The sequence below is a fragment of the Homo sapiens genome, chromosome 18 (assembly GCF_000001405.40).
Source record: "Homo sapiens chromosome 18, GRCh38.p14 Primary Assembly".
NCBI lineage: Eukaryota > Metazoa > Chordata > Mammalia > Primates > Hominidae > Homo > Homo sapiens.
Window position 1 is genome coordinate 41,478,658 of NC_000018.10, and position 18,110 is coordinate 41,496,767.

Sequence of the window (18,110 nt, forward strand, 5' to 3'; positions counted from 1 at the left end):
AAAGAAAGAAAGAGAGAGAGAGGGAGGGAGGGAGGAAGGGAGGGAGGAAGGAAGCAAGGGAGGAAGGAAGGAAGGGAGGGAGGAAGGAAGGAAGGAAAAGAAAAGAAAAGAAAAATCTCTGTAATTGAGTACAATTGCCTGGTGATAGAGAATAAGGTTAAATAGAGGGGAAGAGTTAAGACTGAACATTAAATAATTACAATATTTAAAGACAAAACTAAGAAATGTCCAGAGAAGTAGGAGTAAATACAGAAAATACAGAGAAGTATGGTGTTGATGTCAATGAAAAGAAGAAAGTTTCAAGGGGAAGAAGCTAAAAATGTTTCATTTTGCTGAGAAGAACAAAAAATAAAAAATAAGACAAAGTTGACTTCATGATATGGTAGGCTTTGATGACCAAGGCATATACTGGAATAGTGGCAATTTTGATGTGAGCCTGATGAAAATGAGTTCAAGAGTTCGTCACAATAGTCAAGATATGGAAGCAACCTAAATGTCCTTGGACAGATGATGGGATGAAGGGTAACGAAGATAGGATACATACATACAGTGAAATATGTACTATTCAGATGTACAAAAGAAGGACATTCTGGAGTATATGACAACATGGGTAAGCCTTGAAGACAATATGCTAAGTGAAATAAGCAAGTCATATACACACACACACACACAAAACAAATACTGCATGATATCACTTATATGAGGTATCTAATAAAACACATTCATGGAATCAGGTATTGGAATGGTAGTTTCTAAGTGCTGGAGAGAGGAAAATGGGGAGTTAATAATCAATGGACATGAAGTTTCAGTCAAACAAGATGAATAAACCCTACAGATTGCTTATACAACATTGTACTTAAAACCAACAATAATGTTCTACACTTTTGAGTGTAGATCACATGTTAAGTTTTCTGACCATAGTAAAATAAAATACAGTTCAAGGGAAATAGAGACATTGAAACAGCATAAAAAACTTTTTAAAATTTTAATTTTCAAGTAAGCAGAAATATAGGGCAATACTGGGGAGTGGGAATAGGGGTGGAGTTGAGAGTATAATTTTATTTATGAGAGACTAGAGTTTGTTAACTGCTAATTGGGATGATCCTATAAAAGAGTCTTGTGGAAGTACCAACGAAGGGATTGGTGAGCAGAAATATATCGTTCCTAAATATCTAGAAAGGAATTGGTATTAAAATAAGATGTATAACTCGCCTTTTTAAACAAGTTATAGAGATAAAAGAATGGGTGTAGCTAGAAAGATGAAAAGATACAAGAGCTCCCATATGACAGCTTCAATTTCTCCTGTGAAGAATAAGATCATCTGCTGAGAATTGACAGGGGCAGATGGGGAGAGCCAGAAGATTAATGAAAATGGAATAGGTTTGAAATAGCCATTGTAAATATTGGAAAGAAATTGACCAGAACAACATACTAGAATTATTGGTTAGTCTTGTTATTGGAACTCAGATGAGGTTAGCAATCATAAATTCACAATGGAATCACACTGTTATGTGATATTTTTCCAGGAAAACATGATATTTCCTGGCAATAGTTTTATCCAAGGTTTGGATTTGTCCCAGATACAAGCAATATAGAACAGAGGGGCAGAAGGATTTAGCATTTATGTAAGGTTTAATTGTAATGTTAGGTCAAGCAATCTAAGCTGCATAGGAAGGAGAGTGACAGCAGATTTAAATCCCATGGATAGCAAAACATGAAATGTGGATCTCTACTAGCCACAGTCATGAATTGAATCATGGTATGGGATCCTTTTCTATATTCACAGAATGTTCCACACATCTTCAAATAGTACTCCCTCTGGGATGACTTGGTTCATCTCAGTGATAAGTGGCATCTTCTGTTATTCATCAATTTCCTAAGCAGCCTAGACATACAAAACTGGGGGGCACAAATTATGCTGAGTGATAGTATGATCACATTATTTGAGGTTGTAAGATCGGCTCCACAGCCAGCCTTTGACACACGATAATTTTGGGTGCAGTTTTCTTCCATCAACCCCTCCTCCTCTTTATTCATCCCACCTCCATGTATACACAATTGACTTGTTTATCCCGACTCTTGGTTTTTCAGACCTTACCTTATTGCCTCTCAGAAGTCTTAAAGCAGACCACAATGCTCTAGGCTCTATCCTCTTGGTGTTCAAACCCACCAAATGGTGACAATCTGTTTAGATTCTCATTCCTTTTGGGTCTTGTTGGTGACTGATTGGCTAATCGGTCAAAACAATTTATGCAGAAGCACAAATGGCTGAAGGTAGCATGGTGCATTGTAACGTCCTTGTAACCAATTCTTCACTCAGGTTATCAGAGCTTTAGTCTCAAAGAGTGATTAATGGTATGAGTTTCAAGCACTGTACAAAAGACAGTTGGAGTCTCTTTTCCAGGAAGAAAATACTTAAAAGTATTTCTCAAGCTCATTCCTTAATTCACGCAATAGCTGAGAGTCTGTTATATCTGCTATATCCCAGACATTGCTTAAGGTTCTGGCCATAAGAAATGCCTAGGTCTCCGACTCACACCTTAAATAATTTATAGTCTGGGAAGAGACAGATGCATAACAAAAATGGGTAATAGCTGCCACAATAGAAATCTGTAAGTGTGCAAAAGAGACATAAAAGAGAAAGTGAAAATCCTCATTGTCTCATTTCCTCTGGGAACATGTTTCAATAATGATCCTTTCTCTTCTGTTTACTTTTTGTTTCTTCTCTACTGGCCCTTTCTAGTCATCCTATAACTCAAGTCCATTTCATCTAAAAACAAAATAAAATAAAACAACAGCCTATTATTAACTCTGGATATCCTTCCATTTTTGTATTTCTCCTTTATAGCCTTCTTAGCAAAAATGTTCTTAAATTAGGTTGCATATTCTAATTACCTGGGGAAGGGGACTCATGCCTGGAACCCACTCCACAGAAATTCTGTTTATTTGATCTGGGAAGTAGGCATCAGGATTTTTAAAGTCTCCCGGGTATATTCTAATATGAATGAGCCAAGAATGAGAGCTGCCATTCTGAAGAACGATAAGACTGATCACTCCAACATTATGTGCAGTGCAGGACATATTAAGAACTCAATAAATGGCTATTACCATTGCATTAATCAATAAATACGAGTGTGCTTTGAGTGCATGGGTGTCACAATCTAGTTAACAGAAAACTGGTAGACATATTTGCCTGACTGAGGTGGAAATGACTTAGTATTTACCAGCTGTTCCAGATTTGTTTCATCTTCAAACTGTTGACAGCTAAAAGGCAAGACTCTTAGCACTCAGTTTCTCCATCTGTAAAATGGGAAAAATCACTTATTCTGAATTACGGGGTTGGTTAGAGGATTAATTAGCTCATCTTTGTAAAATGCTCCACAGAGGGGCAAAAAAAAAAATCTATAAGAGCTAAGGATTATAGTCTCTCTGAAGCATCTATAATTTGTAGAGACTTTCATAGCCCATCTGGTCAGTGAAGCCTATAGTTTGGAGCCTTACTTTTGCTTCAAAGCTTTAGAACACAGACTCTGGTTAAACTAACTGGGCTTCACTTAGCCCCCGGGAAAATGACTATAAACTTGTTGCTGTCGAAAATGTCCACAACCTTTGCTCTTTATACTCTGAGTGAATGTTCAATCCTACATGTTCCCCAAATGCCATCTTTTATGTCTTCTCTTGGGAAAGACAGTGGTGGAAGTGAAGAAGAAGGGCAAATGGGACCTCCCCCCACTTAAACCTATCCATCAGTTGGATGATGTGTTTGACAACTAAACTGGATCTTTACCTATTTTTCTTGCAGGATTTTCTAGTAGCTGCTTTCATACCCCATTCCAGTAATATTTAATGTTGCCTCATCGTTCCATTGTGCTCAAAGGTCTTCGTAAGGACACTGAAATAAAAACGATGATTCCTGGCATCTGCACAGAGTGAAGCAAGAGAATGTTACAAATGAGAAAATAGAGCTGGGGTCTGCTTTCTTTCTTTTGGCAAAAAACCTGCTATAGAAACTAATGTAGATGAGGGGGCACTGAGCCATATATAAGTGAGTAATTATCTACTGTTACAGGCCTTATTATCTCTCCAAATGTTTGCTAAAATTCTGTTGGGCAGCCATCTGGACCCAGAGATTTACCCGTGGATTGAGAGTAGATTGTTGTTTTAACTTGAGATAGGAAAATTTCTTTCTTTAATTCTTTTCTGTCATCTTCTGTTAAATAATTTAAGTGAATGTCTCTTACACAGCTCTCTGTGAGTCCTCAGAGTAAGTGGATTCAGTGTGATAAACTCATATAAAATATTTTTTGAAAGTTTTCTTTTTTCCCTTTTCCCCCACCGGAGAATCCAAGGACAGTTTGCCATCTGTTGTAAGAATTTCATTAATGCACCTATTTTCTCTTCCTTTTTGCAAGAGTGGTCAGTCCAAATAATTTGTAGCCCTCTCCTGTTATGGGAAGGATTCGCTGCCCGGAAGCATCACCCCATCACAGCTAAGTCCCTGCTCTCCATTATGGCTTTCTCTCAGGTGGCTTTGTTAGCTCAGAACAACAAAGCCTATGTCCCAAAGCCTGGTTGGGTATCAATAATTTAACAACATGTCATAGACAACAGTGAACCATGCTGCTAGGGTTGAAATATTCCTAAGGCTTACTATCTATTATGCTGGGTTTTCTCACTATGCAGTACAGGTGGGCCCAGCATTTTCCCAATTCAGAAACTTACAAGATAAGATAATGGCACAGGGGAGGGTTTATTTGCATTACAAAAGATTCCCTGATTTACCAAATGGTTCACTTTGGATCTTCTTTAAATTAAGAGCTCGTTTTCAGCAATTAAATGTTTATAGGCTTAATTTGTTTGGCGCTTTCATGATAACACTCCCAAAGAACTGCCTTATTCAGACAAGATGACTCTCCTTCAGACTTGACTGGTCAAAAGTCTGTGCAAAAAATATTTGAAACATAATATTCAAAACAGAACTTTTACTTCATATTTTCTTTTGGTCTAGATTTCATCACAGTCTGGTACATATAAGTGTAGCTTAGAGTCGGCTGCACCTGATTTGAACACAACTGACCCCAAATTCTCACTGTCTCACTTAGACACATGACCCAGTTACTCCCCATAGTGCCAGATAAAATGCCCAGGCACCAAAAACATCAGGCAACAGTGCAGAACGTTCTGTTCTAGTAATTACATTTGGGAGACAGAGGAAGGTTTACAGTGCAGTCCCGTAGCACAAAACCACATAGATACCCAGACATAGTTACATCATTCCTAAAGTCCCTCTCCAAGAATCACAGGTCCTCTCCTGTCTGTCTGCCTCAGCAAGTGCCCAAACTCAGGACCTGTTCTTCACCCTCTTGGAGTTTGTCCCCGCTGTGCAGAGAATTCTGCCCTGCTCAGTCCAGTTTCTGCTCCCCTACTGTCAGTCATCACTGTGGTTAGCTAAAAACCATCTCCCCAACTACCAGAAACTCCCAGTATATGCCTTCTGCTCTTTTTCTTTTATATAATGGTTTCATTTGTTTGTTTGTTTTAGCTAAATTATTCACCTTCACTAGAAAGGTTTACTCTCTTTGAGACTGGCCTGCTGCCACATATAAAAGAGGACAAGCCCAAGTTTGGAGCATGACACAGGGCCATCTACCATAAATCATCAGAACAGTTTGAACAAGGGGCAATTATAAATGCCCAGGAAAGCACAACTGTTTACATTGCACAACTGTTTCTTACACTGTCTGAGTAGTTTACGCCAGATCAAGTCAGAGTGATTGGGAGCCTCACCTCCCCTCCTCAGGATGGACTAGATTGGCCCCCTGATCATAGGGGTTTCCATCAATCATGGGTTGTGGGTCTGCACAGGAATTTTGCTAAGAAGGGCTTGAGAACTAAGTGAGGAATATGAGGGGTCAAGGGTCAGATTTAGGAAGAGGGTACTCCTTTCCTCCTGCTTTTCTTACTAGGATTTATCAGGAACTCTCTTCTCCTATAACTATCTTTGTGTTGTGGGTCTCCATTGCTATCCATAAGAGCATCTTTGCTGCTCTCCTGGCATTCACCCTCTAAGCCCCCTGGATGTCGTGGCCATAGAAATCTCACTAAAGCACCACTTCCATCCCAGCATTTCCCCTGCTCAAAAACCTACGCTGCTCCTTATGTTCCTGCATCAGTTATAAAAGGCATGACCATATAATTTATTGCCCAAACCAGGACATATTTGAGAGTAAAAAAAGGTGCACTTAATATTTATGTCAAGACCACAGGTGTAAATGGAAAATGCTTCATGTAACAGGGATATATGGTCACCTTAAACATAATCTCCCTACCTTGTGTTTGAGACTATGTTTCCATACTACTTATCAACCTAATCTTATTCCAAAGGTCAGAGCACTACTGCAATACTAAAAATAATAGCAGCAAAGGCAACCATAATGCTAGCAACCACTCATGAGTTCTCTTCTGTATAGCAAGCACTATGTCTCAGTGACATTTACTTTTTCACTTTCCACATTCTTATGAGATCAGGGTGCCATTTTTGCCATTTTACAAGTGGGTAAACTGAAATAAAGAGGTTTAAATACTTGGCCAAGGTCATGCAGCTGGTAAATGGCACCCCTGGAATTTAAGTCCAGGAGAGTTTGACCCTGTGCTTACCACTGTTTGCCAAACCATCTCCTTACTTTGTTGTCGTTGTTGTTGTTGTTGTTGTTGTTGTTGTTGAGATGGAGTTTCGCTCTTGTTGCCCAGGCTGGAGTGCAGTGCCGCGGTCTCGGCTCACTGCAACCTCTGCCTCCCAGATTCAAACGATTCTCCTGCCTCTGCCTCCCAAGTAGATGGGACTACAGGCACCTGTCCTCATGCCTGGCTAATTTTTGTATTTTTAGTAGAGAGGAGGTTTCACCATGTTGGCCAGGCTGGTCTCGAACTCCTGACCTCAGGTGATCTGCTCGCCTCGGCCTCCCAAAGTGCGAGGATTACAGGTGTGAGTCGCTGTGCCCGGCCCATCTCCTTACATTTTTAAAGTACTTTGTAAAGCACATAAAGAATATTTAGGATTACAACGGATGGAATGTTCTCCTAGTCTGGATGTGGTCTCCCCCATACTGCTGAATGGCTGAATTAACATTACCCAACTCCTTCCCACCCTTCCATCTTTGCTTATGCTGTTGTCTCTAAATTGATTGCCCTTCTGTGTTTTTCGTGTCGATCCATGGTCAGTCCATCTGGCAAAGCCCAGTTTAATTTCGTACCCTCTGTGAAACCATAGCTGGCTACTCAGTTGACATTAATCCCTCCCACCTGTATCCTCTTAGCCTAATTATCGTTCGTATGGTACACAAATTTGTAATAAATTAAAATTTTCCTTTTCAGTTCTCTAATGATTTTATGTTTGTTATTCTTCTCTCCTTAACCTGTATGCAAATCCTTCAAAGACAGGGGACCTCCTAGAACAAAATTTAACTTGAAATTTGGCCAGATAAATATTGTTTAGACATTTTTTTTTAACAAACTCAGTTAAGAGATTAAATAACTCATCTAAAATTCATATTAAAAAAAACGCCCTAAAAAGATTGTTAATTGTTTAATATTTTTTTCTACCAAAAAATGAGATATTCCTAGTAGCATTATTAAGACACTTCGAAATAAGATTTTTATTTAAGTAAATGGACACATACTAAAACAATTATCTTAAAATAAAATACTCTTGCTTTTTAAAGAAATATATCCAACTGGTTTGAGTTGTCTCACCTTGTGATGAGGAAAAGTAAACTCCAACATTTTCCTCACACCTGTAATGGGAAAAACACAATATCCTGCTGCCTGGGCCAGAAAAACCAGGAAGAACCCCAGGGATGTTCTGTAGTCTCAAATTCACTAGAAACTTATTTGGGGGGAACAAGAAGGAAACTGATCTCAAAATAGACATGTTGACTATATTGCCCCAACAATAATGTATTGAAATTCCTGACGAGGCTGAACAATACCTAAACCATCAGCTTCATTCTGGCTTCATTCCTTTTGCTAATAAATTGGTGTGAACTTCCCTGGCCATGCTGAGGTCATCTGCCAGCATGTGACTGATGATTCTACATGGGGAAATAACTCAGTAAGTACTACTCAGATAGCCAGCAATCTACTCCCATTGTCCCCAGGCCCAGGGCAGCATGCAAGCCCTGGCTTCATGGAGTGGTGGCTTTGGGCCTGATGAAATAGGCACTGGGCACATCACTTTCCAAAAATGATCAGAGAGCCATGATGGAGAAAGAAGGCACTAAAGGAACAGGAGGCATTCTAGAATACAGACAGTGAAGAATATTACAGTCACTAATTTGCAAAAGATTATGCCAGTAGGAAATCTTATGGCCTATTTGCAAAAACACTTACCTGAGTTACTCTGCAGGATCAGTCAGTGAAAAATTACAAAATTAGCCAAGGTGCTTTTTTTTTTCCTTTTGTTCCAGCATCCTTGGTACACTTCTGATGCCTGAAGTCCTTATGCTCCTCACTGTTCTTTCTCTAACACTCTATTGCTTCTCAAAATAATAATAATAGCAAATATCTAGAGATTGCTTATTATGTTCTAGGAACTACACTTTTCACAGAACACCTCTTTGATTCTTACAAATCCACCTTGAAATTGGCTACAATTTTTACCTTGACCTGAAGTTGTTGACAAATTTTCCCAGACACACGGAACTAGTTAAATGGCAGAACTGGGTTGTAAAGCCAGGCAGGGCCACCTGAGTCCTGAGTTTCGGCACCCACATAAAGCATACACCCAATTCACTCATGCAGCTATTTTTCCACCAAGAAGGAATGTGGTTTTAGAAACTAGTTTACTCTGAGATTACAGACTTAACCAATCCCCTTCCCAAGGTTGCTCATATTTTAAAAAATCTCAGAATAGAAACATTGCATGTGTGTCTAGTAAAATGTCATCCCAACGGTAGATAAGATTTTTCTTTGTATAAGACTAGTCTTTTTTACTTTTTTTAACTTTAAGTTCTGGGATACATGAGCTGAACGTGCAGGTTTGTTATATAGGTATATATGTGCCATGGTGGTTTGCTGCACCTATGAACTCATCATCTATGTTTTAAGCCCCACATGCATTAGGTATTTGTCCTAATGCTCTCCCTCTCCTTGCCCCCCTCCCACCCAACAGGCCCCAGTGTGTAATGTTTACCTCCCTGTGTCCGTGTGTTCTCATTGTTCAACTCCTACTTATGAGTGAGAACATGAGGCGTTTGAATTTCTGCTCCTGTGTTTGTTTGCTGAGGACGATGGTTTCCAGCTTTATCCATGTCCCTGCAAAGGACATGAACTCATTTTTTATGGCTGCATAATATTCCATGGTGTATGTGCCATATTTTCTTTACCCAGTCTATCATTGATGGGCATTTGGGTTAGTTCCAAGTCTTTGCTATAGTAAATAGTGCTGAAATAAACATATGTGTGCATGTGTTTTTATAGCAGAATAATTATTATAATCTTTTGGGTATATACCCACTAATGAGATTGCTGGGTCAAATGAAGACCCGTCTTCTTAATCAGCCTGTGAATTATACTAGAACAAATGTAACCTCTATGGATCACAGGACTAGAGTGGTAGGTCCTCTTCTGAGTTGCCCAGAAGCTCCAGAGGCTGAAATAGATTATTTCTTTATCCTTGGATTCAAATCTTCATGATTTCAGTTCTTGTACATGTATTCCTCCCCTCCACATAGCCGGGAACCACCTTTTAAATTTATAAAAAAATTCCGCTAGTTCAAGACTCATGTTTTTCTTAATGTAAGTCCTTATCAGTTACAACCCAAATATATATTTCTTCTTTGAATTTGCCATACATACATGACTTATAGCCTATAGATGATTCTTATACTTGATTAATTCTATCATGCTTTTCTCTGGTAAATGTGTTATGTTTCACTTTCTGACAAAACTCAAATGTGTTTATGTCTTACTTCCTGATAAAAGTTTCTCAGTGAATGGAAATGCAGAGAGTTATCAATATTTCTGATTATTTCTAGCACAAACTATGAAGAAGCTTCTTAAATGAGATAATGTGTGGGAACCACTTATGAGTGGCTGGTATATAGAATGTGTTTACACACACACAGACACATACATTACATTACATTATTTACCTCTCCCTTCTTTTACCTTAAAAAAACACTTTTGGCTAAACAAACAAAAACCTAGCCTTTCTATAGTTAAATTCAAACATATATTTAGTGAAATTAAGAATTGTGTTTGCCTTAAAATCCTGTGTATAACTAGGAACTGAACAGATGGTGAAAGACCTGGTCTCAGGCACATATTCCTTCTCTTCAAATAAGATGCCCCTTGATTTAAGGATAGCAACTCCTGGGAGTCTAATTCCATCAGTAGGCTAGTCTCATCATGCAATCTTGACACATTTGAGGAATGTAGACCAAGATAATCAACTGTCCTCACTTGGGCCACCATCACCTTTGAGATCAGTGGAGCTTGTCTCATTGCAATTCGCCAGAGTAAGTCTGCTCAGAAACACCTGGCAGGACAGCCTAATTAAGTATTTACCCTGGCAGCCAAACTAGCTCTTTCAGATTCATTACGGTTTCTCAAACGACTAAAACTAATTTCTTTAAGTGAATAGAGAAATGACATTTTAAAATAACCTTACAAGGATACAATATTTGAATTATCACAATTGTTAGCTATTTTTAAATTCTATTAATTAATATTATTTTATCTCCAGCATATGTTCTTGTTTTTATGGAACTGTACTCAAGACTCGTCTGGGATAAAATGTCATCAGTAGCCTCTGGCAAGTAGAGATTCCACATCTGGGTAACTTCACCTGTCCTTACTTTATAATGCATGAGCACCAGTCTGATACTCTGGAGTTCTTCCATTGCCGTGCCAGCAGGTAAAGGGGGCGAGGGAGAATCTGTGTTGAAATCTTATGACACAATGGCCCAGATTTTAAAATGGGCATAAAGAAGGGGAGGAGTCCTTGGGTTTATGTGAAAATCCTCTCTCAAGCAAGACCTTTTTAATAATATAACTAAATATGTCAACATATTAAAATATTTTTTAAAGAAAGAATTAGATATACAAGTTGATAACTTTCTTGCTCATTCCTGAAGTATTTCCTCTCACTGTTGATTTGTTACATTTTTCTTTGAAATTCAGGGCTTTGGTGCATCTTCCTAACTAGCACATAAGTATTCTTATTTATGATTTTGCATTGGCAATAGAACTTCAAAAACAAGAGTATTACTAGAAACAAGGGTGTATTCACTTACAGCAATATGTAGCAAACCAGATGCTTTCTAATACTTAAAATGACATTAGACTAGCAAGTCACAGTAGAAAACAAAGCAATTATTTAAAATATGTTTCATCAAGTTTATATATTATTTGATGTCAGGTACTTTTTGTCTACTGGTTTTACTAAGAAATTGGGAATAGAAATAACCATTCTTTTTATGCCAGTGTTATTACTCGGGTGTTAAGGTCAAGTGTAACTGCCTCCATTAAAATATTTTTTTCTTCTTCTTCAAATAAAGATTTTGGCTTAATCAATGGAGTCCCATGTTTACTCACACCTACGTTTGCAAATTATAACCATTCTAAAACTACACAAAAACTGTTTATATGAGTTTCCCACTTCAATAAAGCCTCCCACTCTCATATCACACCCTAAACTTTGACCCACCAGTAATGTCATTTCCTCCAAAATTTCACTTGTATTCCTATTTAACAAATCCCTCACACATTTATGCCACTATCTCCAGCCAACAGTCCATCAACATTGGTCCCTAATTCATAGCCCATCACTCTTTCATTATCAAAGAGCCATTTTTTTTCTTCTCTCCTTTCCCAGCTTTGACTCCAGAGTCAATTACTTACTCATTCTCTTGCCCTCCGGTCTCTCCTTGGTGAAACTCCTTTTCTCAACTATCCCACGTGTCCCCTAAAGCTAGGGAACATGGATTGGGAAAAATATGATAATGCTGATTGCTTTCACTTTAAGTTTATAACACTCCATCTCCTGTGGGCTCTTAAAATGTTTCTGCAGTCTTTCTATATATTCCTAGTTCCTCCACTCTCCAAATCTCTTCTAGAACACCTTAAAAACTTTTCCTTTTTTCTCAAACTTTTAACATATCTTCACCCTCCTTTCTCCGTTGATGACTTCAACTTTCATTTCTGTGAGAAAACAAAGAAATCGGAAGAGAGTAACATCCTCATCTCCCATTACCAAACCCACCAATATATCTCCACTCTCATTTTACAATGCTTTTCTTTTGTTACAGTGGCTACATTTTTCTTACCTTCACTGAAATCCAAATATTCCTCTCCCACACTGGATCCCATTGTCTCTAAAATACTCAAAGGGCTTTGTTCCTGCAACTTTACTTATCCCTCTTTAACTGCATCATCAATCACTCCACTGTTTGTTCTTGTCAGTCTAAGTACTAGTTGTAATACCTCTCATTTTAACAATTTCTGTGGCCCTTCATTTCACTCATACATATTTCTTCTTCTCATTGTAGGAAAACTGCTGGAAATAGTTGCTTATACCCATTCTTTTCATTTCTTAAACTCCAATTTTATTTTTGAAGCCATTCCAGTCAAGTTTTCATCCAGTCACTCCAATAACACTGTTCTTGTGAAGTCACCAAAAACCTCCATGTAGTTGAACCCATTAGTGAATTCTCAGTTCTAATCTTCCTCTACTCTGTAGCAGCATTTGGCACAGTTAATCATTCCCTCATCCTTGAAACACTGTATTAACTTGGCTTTGGAGATACCTTCCCCTCCAGTTATACATCCTAACTCACTGGCTGCTTTCCCAGACAGAAGATGATTTGTCTTCATCGTCCCAACTGGTGTTAGACTTCTATTATCTTGACTTTTCTCTTGTCTTGTCTTGTCTTGACTTATCTTGTCTTGTCATCTTTTCTGAATTATCACTTTGTGCATTGGAGTGCCACCAAGTTCATGGTTTTAAGAATCATCTGGGCTGGGTGTGGTGGCTCACGCCTGTAATCCCAGCACTTTTGGAGGCCGAGGAGGAGGATCACAAGGTCAGGAGATCAAGACCATCCTGGCTAACATGGTGAAACCCCGTCTCTACTAAAAATACAAAAAACTAGCTGGGCGTGGTGGCCGGCATCTGTAGTCCCAGCTACTCAGGAGGCTGAGGCAGGAGAATGGTGTGAACCCAGGAGGTGGAGCTTACAGTGAGCCAAGATCCCGCCACTGTACTCCAGCCTGGGTGACAGAGCGAGACTCCATCTCAAAAAAAAAAAAAAAGCATCATCTGTCCACTAACACTTTCACACTGGTATTTCTTACCTTAGCTTTTCCATTCAGCTCTGGAGTTGAATGACAAATAAACATCAAGCTAAACTAATAGTTGAATACAGAAGTTTTGAGACCTCTTTTTACCACCTTGTGCTCCAATCTAAATCTGGTTCTTCCCCATTTTCACAAATGGTTCCAGAATTCAGTTAGTTCTAAAGTTAAGTGTCATTCATGACTTCCCTCTTTACCTCACATCATCATCGCAAACAACATTACACAATCATTTGTTTATTTTCTTCTTTGTAGTCTATAAACCCCAATAGGTCAGGAGATTTTTCTAGCTCATTTATCATTGCATGTCAGTGCATAGAACAGTCTTTGTCACCTGGTAGTAAATATTGGTTTTTTCAATGAATGAGTGAATGAATGGTTTCTTCTAATCTCTGAACAGTTTTGTTTTGCAAGTTGTAGTTGAACATCCTTCTGTTATAGAGTAGTTCAAGATGTATTAATTTTCACTGTATGTGTTTTTATTTAGCATATATCCACATAATCCAGCAGTTGATCATGCAGTGTTGAGTGTTATTATATAGGTGCTTTACATATATGGAGTTTTATCCCATCTAAAATATAAAGTTCCTTGTGGGCAGAAACCACACCTACATTCCTATGTCTCTTAGTTTCTCACATTGTGTTTAGAACCTAAAAACTGAAGAAGCACAGTTCTTCTAAGGCATTAAAAACTACTTATGATTATTTCTGATCCTAGAGTTAGAAAGACTCTAATATTATTTGAAATATTAGTAGTATTTTACTTTAGTAAAATATTAGTAGTATTTTACTTTAGCATTTTACTTTGCCCTAGAACAAAGTAAAGGAATAACTTTCCTTTACTTGTTTCTGGGGCAAAGCTTATGTACATGGAGGCCATAAAAGGCACCAGCCACAAACAACAACAATGCCTCAAAAGTTATTCTGATAAGAAAAGATTGAGTGAAGTGTAACATTAAATAGGAGTATTTGCACATCTCATTAGTACTTCTAGGATGTTGAATTCTGATTATAAGTGAAATATACGAATTTAACATTTGAGATTATAGAAAATAACAACTGGAAGTCATTCTGAGAGAAAAATATCTGTTCTGGATAGCTAATGTGTGAGGGTCTTCTTAATATGCTGAGTGCACCTTTTCATCCAATCTTCAGGCCAACTGGGTGAGTAGAAGGGGAAGTTAGATCATTTTGTGTGACAGATCAAAAAAGGGAGGACCAAGGCAGAGGGAAGTCCAGTCATATGGAGAGAAGAGTCACGATTGTCTACACCAGTGGATTTATGTCAAGTAGCAAACTCCTCTAGATATCACCAAGGAAGACATGACAGAGAAAAACTAATTAACCAGTCCCCAGTATACATTAATTATATTAGAAGAAGAAACCAAATCATGTGTACACTCTGCTTCCATGAATGTTCAGACCTGTATCACCGTATATTTCTAGAGAACAGTCTGAAAACTTTTCTCTTCATAACCTCCCCACCACCCCCACTTTTTTTTTAACTTGGTAGGGTTTGTCTGATGGCATTCCACATAGAAGTCTCCTAGTGAAGCATGAATAATACCAAAGCTTCCCCTTTAGCAAAAGAGGCAGCTGTTGCAGAAGTATAACCATCTCTGCTTGTGGCTTTGGTAATTGTTGGGAGGTGGAGCACTGAAGTACAATGTCCATGTGCTTCCATCATCACATCCAATCCTCAAGACTTTTTATTTTTTGCTTTGATGAAGAGTGTATTTGTGTGTCACCCCTCATGGTATTTCCAATTCATATAGCTGTTTCTTATGTCTTTTAAATGTCTTTCCATTTTTTTGGTCCTTATCTTCATTTCTCTTGTTAAGAAAGTTTCCTAAACTAATTCAATTGATTCCTAATCAGTTATTATTCTACTTTTCACACAGTCACTAAAGTGCTCTTTTTAAAATGCATCTGACCCAGCTAATCTCCGTTTACAGGCTTTTGTGAATCTCCATCACTCACAGAGAAAATTCTGTGGCCTCTAGCATGACACTGTAGGTCATCACATGGCATGGCTCAAGTCTATCTTCCCAGCTCCATCTAATGAACTAATGAACTACTACTCATCCGTAATGACTTATGATCTAATTATATTAACCCACTTGTAGTTTCTTGGCCTTAGCATGTTCTCTCTCCCCTGCCTCAGTGTATTTCATTACCTCTGCAATACCTCCTGTGTGAATTCGTCTCTGGAAGCTCCAGGCAGAGTCATATTTTCATACCAGATCCTATACATAGCACCTACGACATTGATGAGTGTGTTTTGCTTTTGAATTACCTGACTCTTTCACTAAATTGTCAACTCTTAAGGCCAATAAAATATCTGGCTCATCTCTGGTCCCCTAACACTCAGAACATGAAGATAGGAAAGAGTTAAATGAGGAAAGAAGATAAAACATGATTTTCTGCATACATTGTATTCAAGGTACACAATGTACATTGGATTCTTTGTATAGTATCATATTTAATGTTTACCATAGATGATATAGTCATTATTATCCCCAGTTTATATAATGGGGAAACGGTATGTTGAAAAAAGGGTAAATAAGTTGTCAAATAAACCATTTACAAAGCAAATTCTCAAACCTAAGTAAGTTTGTTTTAGATTCTTTTCCTGGTCACACTGTTCCTCCCAATAAGCATGCAAAGCATTCATTAAATAAATGAACTAATGATTTTTCAAGCTAAAATGAAGTTGTTATTGTGGTTGTCTCTCTCTCTCTTTCTCTCTCTCCAGTCATACATGGGAACTTTGCTCTTTGGCAAAAACTGACTCCTAAAGCAAATCTGTATGTTGCTTGCTCTCTGAAATTTATGTGGCAAGAATTTCTGATTTTTGCTGTGGAAATTCCTTCTTCTTTTGATCAATTTATCTTTCTTCAAAGCATAAGGCAAGGCACATCGCTAATTTTTAAAGTGAACCAGTGTGATGACTACATCTAGATGAAATAAAACAGACAATCTTTAGTAAACTCTTATGTTCCTTAATGTATACTTTAGAGTGTGTGTAGTAACTTTCTGGATTTGAGATATCTAGAAAGCATTTCCCAATGGAATGAGTCTGCTTCTTCAAAAAGCATATTCTGCACTAATTTATTGGAATTATGAAAGTATGTTTCTTCGCTAGAGCTAAAATTCATGTTGTAGATACAACCATGTGGACAGGTCACCAGATATCTGGGCTTAAACTGAACTGTTTTGAAACTGTAAAAAATAAGTCAGACATAATGATGTTTAAAATTCATAAAAGGTGAAAAGTCTATGCAAAATATGTAAGAATAGCATATATAATTGAAATTTTATGTCAATATTTTGCTATATCATATAAATATTTTTGATCAAAAGGTTTTATCGTGTATGTTTAGTTGAAATGTGTCAACTCTCTATATATTTCTTATGAATCTTCTTCTGTTTATTCACTTATCCTTAATTGTTTGAGTTTCTCAGTTACCCAACCTAGCTCTAGTTTTTTTCCTACATAATAATTATGTAAATGTTACAAAATTCATTGATTATCACCCTAACAAATTTAAACTTTTTGCTATAGATTATTGTTTCAAGCAGGAAATTAATGTTGGTATGTGGGAACACAAGTATATCATGATCCTCTCTTCTGCAAGTTATAAATCAAATTGAAAAAAAAAGAAAGGAGTCAAGTATTATAGATGAACCAGTATCCATTTTACATTTGACAAGATTGGATGAGAGAATGTGGCTCACATGGATGGTCATAAGCAGGCTTCCTACTACTTTCCCTTTTTGTCTAGAGCTCAACTCAGCCCACCCCAGGAGGAATATTTGTCTTCAGGATTTGATACACTTATCTAAAATTACTGTCCTTCACACTGGTGTGATTACCCATTTATTTATCTAACAAATATTGAGAACCTACTATGTGCCAGGTTCCAGATGCTGTAGATACTGTGTGAATCAAACAAACTAATTCCACTTAAAGTTTCTTAATGCAGGAGAACAGAAACTGATAAGTCTATGCAATCCTGCAGCCAGCCAGATCCTAAAATGGGAAAAAGAAAGATCTGAGATGTAGGCTCTCTCTTTTTTCTTTTCTTTTCTTTTCTATTCTTTTTTTCTTTTCTCCTCCTTCCTTCCTTCCTTTCTTTCTTTTTCTTTCCTTCTTTCTTTCTTTCTTTCTTTTTTTTTTTTTTTTGACAGAGTCTTACTCTGTTGCCCAGGCTGGAGTGCAGTGGCATGATCTCAGCTCACTGAAACCTCCACCTCCTGGGTTCAAGCGACTCTCCTGCCTCAGCCTTCCAAGTAGCTGGGATTACAGGTGTGTGCCACCATGCCAGGCTAAGGTTTTTTGTTGTTGTTGTTTGTTTGTTTTTTAGTACAGACAAAGTTTTACCACGTTGGCCACGCTGGTCTCAAACTCTGACCTCAGGTGATTCACCCACCTCGGCCTCCCAAAGTGCCGGCATTACAGGCATGAGCCACCGCGCCTGGCCAGCTCTCACTTTCACCAGTCATTGAACCATTCCCTATCCACCTTCAGGGAGGAGTGAGTGAAAGGATGTGAGGAAAAAAGGCTGACATGTTTCTTATATGACATTCCCTCCTGGCGACCATAAATTCCTTCCACAACATGGGAGAAGGTATATGATCGGCTTTGTGATTTAGAAAGATAGTCCTATTGGAAGTATAAAAGATAAAGAGAAGAGGGACATGTTAGTCTCAATGCCTTTTGTAAAAATTCTCTTAAATTTTTTTGGGCAAGTTGC

At 38.0% G+C, this 18,110-nt stretch overlaps 1 long non-coding RNA gene across 1 annotated transcript in view; it reads right to left on the bottom strand.

Annotated features, from left to right (window-relative positions):
* Positions 1-1,613: 1,613 nt before the first annotated feature.
* KC6 (keratoconus gene 6) overlaps positions 1,614-18,110 on the bottom strand; it is a 40,407-nt gene continuing 23,910 nt past the window's right edge. Inside the window, exons 4-6 of the long non-coding RNA NR_002838.2 lie at positions 3,788-3,920; positions 3,225-3,300; positions 1,614-2,610 (exon numbers count right to left, since the gene is read on the bottom strand). This is a non-coding gene — a long non-coding RNA (keratoconus gene 6). The remainder of the gene's footprint in view (positions 2,611-3,224; positions 3,301-3,787; positions 3,921-18,110) is intronic.